At 38.4% G+C, this 13,756-nt stretch overlaps 1 protein-coding gene across 4 annotated transcripts in view, besides 1 other annotated feature; it reads right to left on the bottom strand.

The window, feature by feature from the left end:
• The window catches only part of CDK14 (cyclin dependent kinase 14), a 614,270-nt gene that overhangs the window by 445,287 nt on the left and 155,227 nt on the right, over nucleotides 1–13,756 (bottom strand). The window lies entirely within an intron of this gene.
• Nucleotides 23–594: an enhancer, noted in NCBI's record as "OCT4-NANOG hESC enhancer chr7:90394025-90394596 (GRCh37/hg19 assembly coordinates)". NCBI's record gives its function as "activates a minimal SCP1, AML or CMV promoter by ChIP-STARR-seq in primed H9 embryonic stem cells {active_cell/tissue: H9 hESC(primed)}" and the evidence as "EXISTENCE:reporter gene assay evidence [ECO:0000049][PMID:30033119]".

Raw genomic sequence — 13,756 nt, 5'->3', positions numbered from 1 at the left:
CCAGCACTTAGCCATGAAACTTTCTCAAGAACAAGTAGTAAAAAAAAAATAACTTTTTTTAATAAAAAAGTCACTGTTTAACCTAGACCATTGCTTTCTCATTAGGAATCTGGCTTCCTTTGGGACTCCCAGTAGGCCTCATTTGTAACACTACTTGTTTGGTTTCTCAATATCTCAATTTCCCTCTTCTTTCTCCTAAGAGGTTTGATGAGACATACAACAAAAGCCCTTGGTTCCTCTCTTGCTTCCCCAGGGGCTTGTCTTTCAATACCTATGCTGACTGCTAAGCTGCATGAGAATTCACTCTCCTGTCTCACCCATCAGGCCAATTAGGAATGACTTCTACCTTATTCTCTGTTGGGTTACAACAGGTCTTTCAACTATTAACCAAAGTGCCTGATGTTTACAATTTTCCCTCAGCTCAGACAATGCTTGCAGATCTCTAGGATCATTAAGTCCCTGAAAACAGAGATAGTTAAAAACACAGCAATCCCAAAGAGACCCTTCTGAACTAGAGACAGATATCTTTTAAAAATTCAAAGAATTTGTTTATACAGGCAAATGTTATGTCTGTTTCCTCAGAACTCTAGAAGGAAGGGAAAACATATTTGCTCAAGAATCAACCATTAAGCATAAAAAAAAGTCTTACGCCTGAAATCTTTAAAATAATTTCCTTTCTGTCAGATCATCTCCCCAACATCAACAGTGTCTACCATACAATCTTGCACTGAATTACTCTATGCAAATTGCAATCCTAGATTTTTAAGGTACCTGCCATCTCTCCATTGTTACAATTCCTACTAGTAGTACAGTATACTTCCTTTGTATGAGCCAGTGCTAAATAGACTGGGAGCATTTGACTAAAACTCACTGACACCGCAACCTGTTAGCTTTGAGCTCTAACAGCACCTAATTTCACCCAAACCCCACCTTGTTAATTCTTTCACATTTCCAGCATTTCAGCTATCTTGAATTACTCTAAGCCTAACATTTATGTTACGAGTAGTAAGGCACCTGAGTAGGTCATTTGAATTTTAGATTGATTAGTTCCTATTTCACAAAAATCATGTCTAATTGCCAGACCTTTCTGTCTAAGAACTGTACATAAAGTTCATTAACCTCCCACGAAACTTTTAAAATCAATTCACAAATCTGCATTACAGATTCAACAGCACTCATAAACTGTTCAAAAATGCTCCCACAGATTCACTGACATTAATGGCTCTAAATACTCAGTTGGATCCCACAATAACATATTCCAATCAAATTTCGGTTTTTGGCAAAATATTTTACCAAGTTCCAGAAAAATAAAAATTATATAATATGATCATATAATTTATCATCCAAATGGGACAGTATTCAGAGTAAAAAGAGCACTATTAATAATCATGAAAATGACAAGCATAAACCAGAACTGTGCCAGGTACACTAGGACAGAAGGGCCCCCTCTATACAAAGCCATTTATACTAAACAGAACCTTTTTTTAAATGTATACTTTAAGTTCTAAGGTACATGTGCACAACATGCAGGTTTGTTACATATGTATACATGTGCTGTGTTGGTTTGCTGCACCCATTAACTCATCGTTCACATTAGGTATTTCTCCTAATGCTATCCCTCCCCCATCCCCCCACCCCACGACAGGCCCCAGTGTGTGATGTTCCCCACCCTGTGTCTTTATTGTTCTCAAGGAGAGATCTAAAATCTAATGAAATTAACCCAAAAAGGAGTCAGCAAATATATGTTCAGAACAGATAGCTGAGAGAACTGTGTACAAAGATGAGACCAAAGATTTAATTCAGCCTAGAATAAAAACCAAACTCTATACGGGGTTTTAAAACACGGCCCCCAAATTCATTGACACTCCTCATTGAGAGGTGTGGTCTATGGCCCCTACGCTTGGATCTGGTCTCTTTGAACACTTGATCAAGAGTAGGTGAAAGGAGCACTGTGCCAGTTCTGGGTCCAGGCCTTGAAATATTGGCAGCTTCCACTTTGTTTACTTTGGCAGTACTGATCAGATCATCGAATCCTTAGTGATATCTCTGCCTGCTTAATCTGTCAATTACCGACAAAGTGGTGTTGAAGTCACAACCACCATAGTGGATTTGTCCATTTCACCTTTCAGTTCTATCAATTTTTGCCTCACGTATTTTGACACTCTGTTGTTTGGTGTGTATACAATAAAGTTGGTTGTCTTCTTGGAGAACTAAGCTCTTTATCATCATGTAATGCCTCTCTTTAATCTTGATGATCTTCTGAATCATCAGAAGTACTTGCTTTGTCTGAAATTAACACGGCTACTGCAGCTATGTTAATTTTTTAAGACAGGGTCTCACTCTCTTGCCCAGGCTGGAGTGCAGTGGTACTCACTGCAACCTCTGCCTCCGGGTTCAAGCAATTCTTCTGCCTCAGCCTCTTGAGTAGCTGGGATTACAGGTACATGTGCCACCATGCCTGGCTAATTTTTGTGTTTTTTGTTAGAGACAGGGTTTCCCCCTGTTGCCCAGGCTGGTCTCAAACTCCTGATCTCAAGTAATCTGCCCGCCTCAGCCTCCCAAAGTGCTAGGATTATAAGGGTGAGCCACCACACCGGGCCTTCCAGCTATCTTTTAATTTGCGTTAACATGGCATATATTTCTCTATCTTTTTGCTTTCAATCTGCACCTTTGTATTTAAAGGATAGTTCATAGATAAAATATAGTTGGGTCTTGTTTTTTTATCCACCCTGACAATCTCTGTCTTTTAATTGGTATCTTTAGACCAATTACATTTTAAGTGATTTTGATATGTCTGTATTAATATCTGTCACGTTTGTAACTTATCTGTTCATTGTTTTTGTGCTCTCTCACTTTTCACATACCCCCTTGATTCAGTAGGAGGAAAGGAGAGGACCCTATCCCAGAGAGAGCAAAAATTCACACCTACTTACAACTTGAGGGAGGGTGCCAAACCCTGGAGGGACTCAGATGTGACCCACCAGCAGATCCCAGTACAATGAGAAAACTATGAGTCCTACCATACCTCAAAAAATAAAATAAAATTAGCTCCTTCATTTGGTATAAAACACACCAAGCTCTTTCTCACCTCAGGGCCTGGCATGAAACACTCTTGTGCCTGCTCTTTACCTGCCTGGTGACATCTCCTCCTTCAGACCTATGCATAAATGTCCTCTCCTCAACAAGGCTTCCATTTCCATCCATCCAATGTATATTTACTATCTATACCCCTCTCTTATGCAAATATACATAACCCACTACTCTCGGTCTTAATTCTTCCTCAGCTCTCTTTTCCTTTACATAATTTACAATTACAGATTCTGTCTGCTGACTTGATTAATTTCTGCCTCCCTCACTGGATAATATGCTTAATAAAAACAGGGGACCTGTCAATTTTGTTCACCACTACACACCTATTGCCTGGCCCACTCAGCCCACAGAACACAGTAGAGAGTTACTACAACCTCAAAAGGAATGCACTATCTTAAACAGACACTGCCTCCATGCATTTCTTAAGACCAGGGTTTCTCAATCTCAGCACTAATGTCATTTTGGGCCAAATAATTCTTTGTTGCAGGAGACTGTCCTGTTCATTCATAGGATATTCCGCAGCATCTCTGGCCTCTACCCACTACATGCCAGTGACACCACCACTCCTCAAGTTGTGAAAGCCAAAAATGTCTCCAGACACCAACAAATATATCCTGGCAAACAAAATTATCCCTAGTTGAGAACCACTGGTTTAGACTAGAAATGCTCCTTCCCTACCATCCTGGTTTAAACAAAAGGATGACAGTAACAATAAAGCAGCTCAGGAACATGGGTATGCTTTAACCTGAAGTCAATTATATCCTTCCCCAAGTCCTCCTCAAAAACCACTTTGGGAGAGGGGTTTTAGGAGTCCTCACATAATGACTTTCAATTATTTCAGTAATTGAACATTTCTACACTAACTCTTTAAAAAAAAAAAAACCCCAAAGAGTGCCTCCATTTCCACCAGATGGGCATAGCTGACATATGACCACAATTTTAACAACAGCAAATATCACTGATTGTATTGAGCGTCTCCTGTCCAAATGATCAAAGAACCTGATAATAAACATGGCTAAGAGAGGCCAATACGTTTAAACACTGTCTAATAGGAAAGTTATTCCAGTACAATTTAGTCTAATAATTAAAATCATCTTCTTGCTTAAACAATATCCTCACTGTCACTTTCATCAAAAAGATTAAGCATTGTTTGTTTATCTGCTGCAAGCTAAATGAAACCAGCTGTACCAATGAACCAGACTCTAATGTCTGCATTCTTCCTCTAAAGGACGTCAGGGCTGAATCTGCAATTTGAGTAGGATTTAGGGTTTAAAAATAAAATAAAATTAGCAGATGTTGGTGGGTGGGCTATTATCCTCCTTGGACTAGCTAAGGATAGGAACCCTACTTTTCAAACTTTCACCTATACACAGATCTGAAGGAACACAGATCGGAAAATCCCATATTGTGAACTGCATTTACTCTGTTAGCTTTTCTTCCCTCAGTTTATCCTGTTATACATTGTAATGCTGTATTTTGTTCATTAAATTATAAAACTAACACTGATTGTATTATACTGTGATGTTATTTTCATTGATTAAATAGTGCAGTTACAGGCTTGATCTTTGAAGTGAGCTGTAATAATAAGCTTTGGTCCAAGAGCCCAAAGTCTAAAAGAAGTCAGAGCAGACCTAAGGAGAAACAGCATGGGCCTCGGGAGCATCCTACAGCAGAGCTTGTAAAATGTAATCAGACTAGTGTCTCTTTGTAGAAAGCTCCCATTTGTGGGCAGGTAACCTCTCAGGACTCTGAAGTCCACATGACAGTCTAGGTGTCAACACTTAAGATTGCAGCTTCAATGAACCAGGAATCCAGTGTTTTCCATCTGGGGATTACTGACTTCTAGAATTCTTCAAACTCCTCCTGATAGTGTTTCAATGAACTTGACCTTTAGTGCAAGCAGTAAGAACTGCATCTTTAATCTCACATATTGTGAAAAGGTGGTTAACTGCTGCTGCCTTTCTTCTTGCGCTGCTGCTTGTTTTAATTAATAGCATTTCTTCCCCCCTATTTCTCCTGGGGTTTTGAAGAGCTCTTTGAACTGTATTTAGTATATTTCAGTCTTGGTTTGGTGTAGTCTCTCAATTTATAAGGTCGTTTAATTCAAGTTCAATTATTCTGCACAAATTGGCAGGATGAAATGCTAAAAGAAGATTGGCACTTTCAATCACATAAATCTCATGTCACATAAAGTGAGCAAATTCCTTCATTGTTCTCATTGACCTCTGAGATAACAATTTATGGCTGGCACAAACCAGTGTGGGCAGGCTTTTCTTTGGCAGGCTCCTGCAGAAGTAATGCTTTGGCATCTTCACCTCAACAGAAACTGAACATAAGCAGAGAAAGTGACCAGAGATCAGGATCATCTGTGGGACAACTTAGTCTGAATACTCCAATTCTAGAAGCAGAACAAAGAGCAAGCTGTTTTTCCTCTAAATGGCATGTGAAGTCTGAGAAAATCAAAAGCAGCTATAGACTCACATACCCCCTAGATTCAGTAGGAAAGAAAGGAGAGGACCCTGCCCCAGGGAGAGCAAAGACTCATACCCACTCACTACTTGAGGTAGGGTGCAGAACCTGGGGGACTCAGGTGTGATCTACCAGCAGATCAAAGTACATTGAGGAGAATATGGGTCCCACTATGTCTCAACTTTGGGTCTTGAGGTTGTGAGAGGTAGTAGCTCTTATTTTCAACAACCAGGTATTCATGGGTGCCCTTGCATAAGCAAACCACCAATCCTCCCAGATCATATTGCTTAAAGCCAATTCCACTTCAATACTCAAACAAAACACTTTTGCTTAACCAAAACTACCACAATAATCAAAGTGAATCTGTTTACTTTTAGCTTAAGGCCCTCAAAGTTCAACAAATTTAGTGGAGAGTCTGATAACCAATGAGTGAATATCTCATTATATTTGCTTGGGGGGAAGGAGTAAGCCCCAAAAGGGAACAGTGCCAAGGATTCCACAAAGACACATAGTGATGAGGGAAGCTTGATTTAAAAGCACACAAAGATGTGGCTTCTAAACTCAATCAGTGGCCACTGGAGAGAAAACATTTAAAATACTTTAGTCAACATCATCCTCTCTTCATTCCCTTTGAAACCCCACACCATTTTACCTGGATGTTTTTGTTTTACGATTTTTTTTTTTTTTTTTAGACAGAGTCTCGCTCTGTCACCCAGGCTGGAGTGCAATAGTGCAATCTCGACTCACTGCAACCTCTGCCTCCCGGGTTTGAGTGACTCTCGTGCCTCAGCCTTCCGAGTAGCTGGGATTGTAAGTGCATGCCACCACACCCAGCTGATTTTTCTATTTTTAAGAGGGACAGGCTTTCACCATGTTGGCCAGGCTGGTCTCGAACTCCTGGCCTCAGGTGATCCACCCGCCTTGCCCTTGCAAAGTGCTGGGATAGCAGGCACGAGCCACTGTGTACCTGGGCCTTTCTCACTACGTTCTAGCTTATATAGAATATAGTATTGATACATCTTCATTTATATAGAATTACTTATGTATTTGTACCATCTCCCTTCAAGATTAAGTTTCCCGAGGGCAGAATCCTCATCTGAGTCACCTCTTTTTCACCGACAGCATAAAAAAGGCATAATTATAAACAATACAATGAATATTCATCACTAGTTGAATAAGTTCAAAAAATATTAACACATCTCTGAATATACAGAAGTCCTTGGTAAACTGAGAGGTAAAAAGATGATTTCAAGGTGCTGAATTAAAGACATTTTAAAATGCCATATATTTTAATTTTCCAAAGTATTATACGATGCATAATTTTTTAATCCTATATTAAATGCTACAGGAATTTAGAAGAGAGAACATAATCAGAAAACCAAACCAGAAGAGAGATCAGCAGTCAGCAGTCAGAAGTAATGATAACTGCCACCCCCCATCTAAACATAAAAACAGAGAGAGAGAGAGAGAGACAAAGAGACAGTGAAAGACAAAGACAGAGAGAGAGACAGAGAAGAAATCTGGAGAACACTGATCAAAAAACAAAAACTTTCTACTCAAATATGAGAATGTGGTAAGTTCAAAGCTTTTTCTTAAAAGCATATTTGTGAGTTTTGTATGTTGATGTGAACAGGGTTAACCAGCCATTTGTTAGAAGCCAAGCTCACTACAAAGCAGACTACCTGTATAGGAATCTCAGTTAACTTCTCTCCAGTGTATGTGTTCCTACATGGATAAGAGATCCAAAAGAATCAAGAATAATTAAAAACACTTTCTATTCCTCCTCAAGCTTCTAAACTATGCCTAATAGCAACTACTCCACAATCAAGAATTACACACACCCACTGGGCATGGTTGCTCATGTCTGTAATCCCAACATTTTGGGAAGCCGAGGTGGGTGGATCACTTTAGTTCAGGAGTTCGAGACCAGTCTGGGCAACATGGCAAAACCCCGTCTCTACAAAAAAATATGAAAATTAGCTGGGTGTGGTGGCACGTGCCTGTAGTCCCAGCTACTCGGGGGTGCTGAGGCATGAGAATCGGTTAAGCCTCAGCGGCAGAGGTTGCAGTGAGCCAAGACTGCATGCACCACCGCACTCCAGCCTGGGCGACAGAGTGAGACCCTGTCTCAAACAAAAAAAAAAAAAAGAATTACACAAATCTCTTGATGGGGCAAATAAATATCCTTTGTTTGTACTTTAAAAAGAACCAATAGGTAAAGGATGAATGACACGTATTACAGGCAGAAAAAGAACAACACTGTCATGAATGCAATGCCAAGTTAGTGAGGTTTGACACTAGTAAGTGTTATGGATTGAACTGTTCAAAAAGATATGTTGAAGTTCTAACCCCAAGCACCTCAGAATGCATTTTTTTTTGAAATGAGTCATTTATGGAGGCAATCAAATCAAAATGAGATCATTAGGGTGGACCTTAATCAAATATAACTCATGTCCTGACAGAAAGGGAAAACTTGGACACAGACACACACAGACACACACACACACACACACACACACACACACACACACACACTGGAAGAATGCCATGTGGAGAAGGCAACAAGAGGGGTGATGCACCTGCAAGCCAGGAATGCCCAAAATTGCCAGCACACCACCAGAAGCTAGGACAGAGGCATGGAACAGATTCTCCCTAACAATCCTCAGAAGGAACCTACCCTGCAGACACCTTGATTTCAGACTTCTAGCCTCTAGAACTGAGAAAGTACATGTAGCTTAAGCCACCCAGATTGTGGGACATTGTTATTTCAAGCCCTAGCAAACTAATACAATGAAGCTTATGGTAAAATCCAAACATGACACCTGTAAACCAACACATATGTGTAAAATGCTCACAAACTGAAAATCACAAGTATCTCTACAAATGCCAGACAGCTTCACTGCAAGATAATGAGAGCTGTTTCTGGGGAGGATGCAAAAGATTATGTTTAAAGATGGCAGGTGGGATGCAGACATTTATGAGAGAATGGTGAGGAGTATTGGAACAGGGATCCCAACAATTAGTTGGCTATTTAAATTATATAGCACTATAGGGACACACCAAACTTAGCTCTCAAGTCCTGCTATATGACATGTAGCTGTTATTCTTCAGCCTGACTTAGCCACCTTAAAGCAAGCAAAGCCAGGGAGCCTGTCATCTCTTAAAGCAGGTAACTAGGCAATGGCTTTCCTCTCCACCTGGAGGAAAGGAAGTACTACATGTGACCAGGAGGCTTGAAACTGCTCAAGAAATGCTAACAAGATAAATTAATACCTACTAGAGTGAAAACTATTAACCGTCCAGAACAATCTTTCTCAAAGATTATAGGTACTTTTAAAGTCTTTCTTTTATTCAGGCATAATAAATGAAAAATTCTTCAACTATCTCCAAGATTTTGAAATAAATCTTCAAGATAAAAATTTAATAGAGTTATTAACACATCTGGAGATCAGCTGAGCACATCTTCAATGGATAGGAACTTCCAAGTGGTTCGTTTTCTTATAAAGAAATAGTGTTTGCTTCTATTTGAGTCATAATTAAAACAAGTCAGAGTATATGTGAGAACTATTTGGAATATTCAGAGAGGATCACATCTTTCCAAGGTCTTGCACTATGGAAGCAGTAATGGTGTACTGATTAGGAAAATGATAGCTTCAAGCCACCAGATGGGAATGAGCTAAACAAACTTTGCCACTAACTACCTGTGTGAACATAGGCAAGATGCTAAACCTCTCTAAGCCCTAAGATTCCTGACTGTTAAATGAAGATGACAATAATGGGACCCACCTCATACGGCATTGTGAGGAGTAAATGAGACAAAGGGATGTACTATATTGTACACAAAATAATTGCTTAATAAAGGGTAGTTATCATGTTATTGACACTAAATTTAGTACAAGTAATTTTTATATGGTAAAGTACTGCTATTTTTCTTTAGGAAAGAAAATTAAAATATGGGGCACAACCCCTATTAAAATTAACTCAATCATTTAGACCATTACTTTGACATTCCAAAATTCTCAAGCAATATGGTTATTAACAGTCCTCTGGATTTTGTTTTTTATCCCTTATCATGCTGACTATTCATTCAAATTTTCTTAAAAAAATACTTTTTAAGTAATTTCAACTTTCATTTTAGATTACGGGGCTACATGTACAGGTTTATCATATTAGTATATTGCATGATTCTGAGGTATGGGATATGAATGATCCTGTCATGCAGGTAGTAAGTATAGTACCCAAAGGTTTTTCAACCCTTTTCCCCCTTCCTTAGCAACCCCACTCAGCAGTCTCCAGTGTCTATTGTTCCCAACTTATGTCCAAGTGTACCCAATGCTTAGCTCCCACTTACAAGTGAAAACATGCAATATTTGGTTTTCTGTTCCTGTGTTAATTCACTTAGGATAATGGCCTCCAGCTGCATCCATGATGCTGCAAAGAACACGATTTCATTCTTTTTAATGGCTGTGCAATATTCTGTGGTGTATATGTACCACATTTTTTTAATCCAATTCACTACTGATGGGCATGTAGGTTGACTCCACAGCTTTGCTATCGTGAATAGTGCTGTAATTAACATAAAACTGCATGTGTCTTTTTGGTAGAACAATTTCGTTTCTTTTGGATATATACCCAGTAATGAGACTGCTGGGATGAATGACAGTTCCTGTTTTAAGTTCTTTGAGAAATCTCCAAACTGATTTCCACAGTGGCTGAACTAATTTACATTCTCACCAGCAGTGTATAAGCGTTCCCTTTTCTACACAGCCTTCCCAGCACCTGTTTTTGACTTTTAATAATAGCCATTCTAACTGATTTGAGATGGTATCTCATTACGGTTTTGATTTGTATTTTTCTGATGATTAGTGAGTGGAGCATTTCTTCATGTTTGTTGGCCGCTTGAATGTCTTCTTTTGAGAAGTGTCTGTTTCTGTTCATGTATTTTGCTCACTTTTTATGGAGTTATTTGGTTATTGCTCGTTAAATTGTGTAAGTTCCTCAGAGATTCTAGATATCAGATCTTTGTCAGATACACAGTTTCTGAATATTTTCTCCCATTCTGTTTACTCTGTTGATAGTTTATTTTGCTGTGCAGAAACTCTTCAATTAGGTCCCACTTATCAATTTTGGCTTTTGTTGCAATTGCTTTTGTGAACTTAGTCATAAATCGTTTCCAAAGGCCGATGCTCAGACGATGTTTCCTAAATTTTCTTCTAGGATTCTTAGAGTTTCGAGGTCTTACGTTTAAATCTTCAATCCATCTTGAGTTAATTTTTATATATGGTGAAAGGGAGGGATCCACTTTCATTCTCCTGCATATGGACAGCCATCTATACAAGAAACATTTATTAAATAGGGAGTCCTTTCCCCATCACTTATTTTTGTTAACTTTGTCAAAGATCAGGTGGCTGTAGGTGTGTGGCTTTATTTCTGGGTTCTCTATTCTGTTCCTTTGGTCTATGTGTCTATTTTTGTACTAGTATCATGCTGTTTCAGTTACTGTAGCCTTATAATATAGTTTGAATTCAGGTAGTGTGACGCCTCTGTCTTGGTTCTTTTCCCTTAGGAATGCTTTGGATATTCAAGCTCTTCTTTGATTCCATATGAATGTTAGAATATGTTTTTCTAATTCTGTGAAAAACAACATTGGCAGTTTGATAGGAATAGCACTGCATCAATAGATTGCATTGGGCAGCATGGCCATTTTAACAATATTGATTCTTCCAATCCAAAAGCACGAAATGTTTTTCCATTTGTTTGTGTCATCTATGATTTCTTTCAGCAATGTTTTGTAGTACTCCTTGCAGAGATCTTTAACCTCCTTGGTTAGACATTTTCCTAGGCCTTTTAATTTTTTGTGGCTATTGTAAATGAAATTGCATTCTTGATTTAATTCTCAGCTTGAATGCTGCTGGTGTATAGAAATAATGCTGGATTTTATACATTGATTTTATATTCTGAAACTGTACTGAAGTCATTCATCAATTCCAGGAGCTTTTTGGCGGACTCTTTAGACTCTGTATAGAATCATATTGTCAGCAAAGATGGATAATTTCACTTGATTTCTTATTTGGATGCCTTTTATTTCTTTCTCTTGCCTGATTGCTCTGGCCAGGACTTCTGGTACTATGTTTTAATAGGAGCGGCGAGAGTGGGTATCCTTGTCTTTTTCCAGTTCTGTAGAGGAATGCTTCCAGCTGTTGTCAGTTCAGTATGATGTTAGCTGTGGGTTTGTCATAGGTGGCTCTTATTATTTTGAACTATGTTCCTTCAATGCCTAGCTTACTGAGGGTCTTTATCATGAAGGGATGTTGGATTTTATCAAAGCCTTTTTGCAAATCGACTGAGATGATCAAATGGTTTTTGTTCTTAATTCTGTTATGTGGTGAAGCACATGTATCGATTTGTGAATTCTGAACCAACCTTGCATCCCAGGAATGAAGCCTACTTGATTGTGGTGAATGATCTTTTTGATGTGCTGCTGGATTTGGTTTGCTGGTATTTTGTTTAGGATTTTTGTTCATCAGGCATATTGGCTTTTAGTTTTCTGTTTTCATTGTTTCTTTCCTAGTTGTTCATATCAGGATGATGCTGGCTTCATCATCCTCGATGATAAGGCGGTGTCCATCTTCCTCAATTTTTTGCAATAGTTTCAGTAGAATTGATACCATCTCTTCTCTGCACTTCTGGTAGAACTTGGCTATGAGACAATCTAGTCCTGGGCTTTTTTTGATTGGTAGGTTTTTATTATTAATTCAATTGTGGAACTTGATATTGGTCTGTTCAGAGTTTCCATTTCTTCCTGATGCAATATTGGGAGGTTATGTGTTCCAGAAATTTACCAATTTCCTCTAGATTTTCTACTTTGTATACATAGAGTTGTTCCTAATAGTCTCTGACAATCTTTTCTATCTCCATGGGATCAGCTGTAATGTCACCTTTGTCATTTCTGATTGTGTTAACTTGGATCTTCTCTCTTCCTTTAATTAGTGTTCTATTGATCTTTATCCTTTCAAAGAACCAACTTTTGATTTCATTTATTTTTAATATATTTTTAGGTCTCAATTCCAGTCAGTTCTGCATTGATTTTAGTTATGTTTTTTCTTCTTCTGGCTTTGGGGTTAGGTTGTTCTTGTTTTTCTAGTTCCTCTAGGAGTGATGTTAGTTAATTTAAGATCTTTCTAATTTTTTTAGGTAGCCATTTAGTGCTGTAAACTTTCCTCTTAACACTGTTTTTCCTGTATCCCAAGGATTTTGGTATGATTTGTCTCTGTTTTCATTTATGTCTAAGAATTTTTTGACTTCTGCTTTAATTGTTTAATCAAAAGTTATTCAGGAGGAAGTTGTTTAATTTCCATGTAATTGCAAAGTTTGGGGAAATCCTCTTGGTATTGATTCTTATTTTTATTCCACTGTGGTCTAAGAGTATGGATGGTATGACTTTGATTTTTTTTTTTAATTTACTGAGACTTGCTTTATGACTGAGCATGTGGTCATCTGTCCTAAATGCAAATGAGAAGAATGTATATTCTGTGGTTGATGAGTGGAATATCCTGTAGATGCCTATTAGGTCTAGTTGGTCAGGGGTAGAATTTAAGTCCAGAATTTCCTTGTTGGTCTTCTGCCTTGATGATCTGTCTAATGCTGTCAGTGCGTTGTGGAAGCCCCCACTATTATTGTGTGGCTAAGTCCTTTTGTAGGTCTACAAGTAATTGTTTCAGGAATCTGGTTGTTCCAATGTTGCATGCATATATATTTAGGATAGTTAAGTCTTCTTGTTGAATTGAACACTTTATCATTATGTAACGCCCTTCTTTCTCCTTTTTTATTGTTGTTGGCTTAAAGTCTGTTTTATCTGATATAAAAATAGTGACCCCTGCTCTTGTTTGTTTTCCATTTGAGTGATAGATCTTTCTCCAACCCTTTACTTTGAGCCTACTTGTGTAATCACATGTGAGATGGGTCTCCTGAAAACAGCAGAGAGATAGGTCTTGTTTTTCTTTCCTTAATCCAACTTACAATTCTATGCCCTTTAAAAGTGTGAGGTTTAGTCAGTTTATATTCAAAGTTAATATTGATATATAGCATTTTGAGCCTATCATGAAGTTGTTACTTGGTTGCATTATAGTTTCTATTGTATAGTGCCTTTACAGAATCTGTGGGCCATGTACTTATGTGTGTTTTTGTGGTAGTGGGT

Source organism: Homo sapiens, chromosome 7 (assembly GCF_000001405.40).
Source record: "Homo sapiens chromosome 7, GRCh38.p14 Primary Assembly".
Classification (NCBI taxonomy): domain Eukaryota; kingdom Metazoa; phylum Chordata; class Mammalia; order Primates; family Hominidae; genus Homo; species Homo sapiens.
The sequence above is the reverse complement of the archived record's forward strand: the minus strand, read 5'-3'. Positions and strand labels throughout refer to the sequence as shown.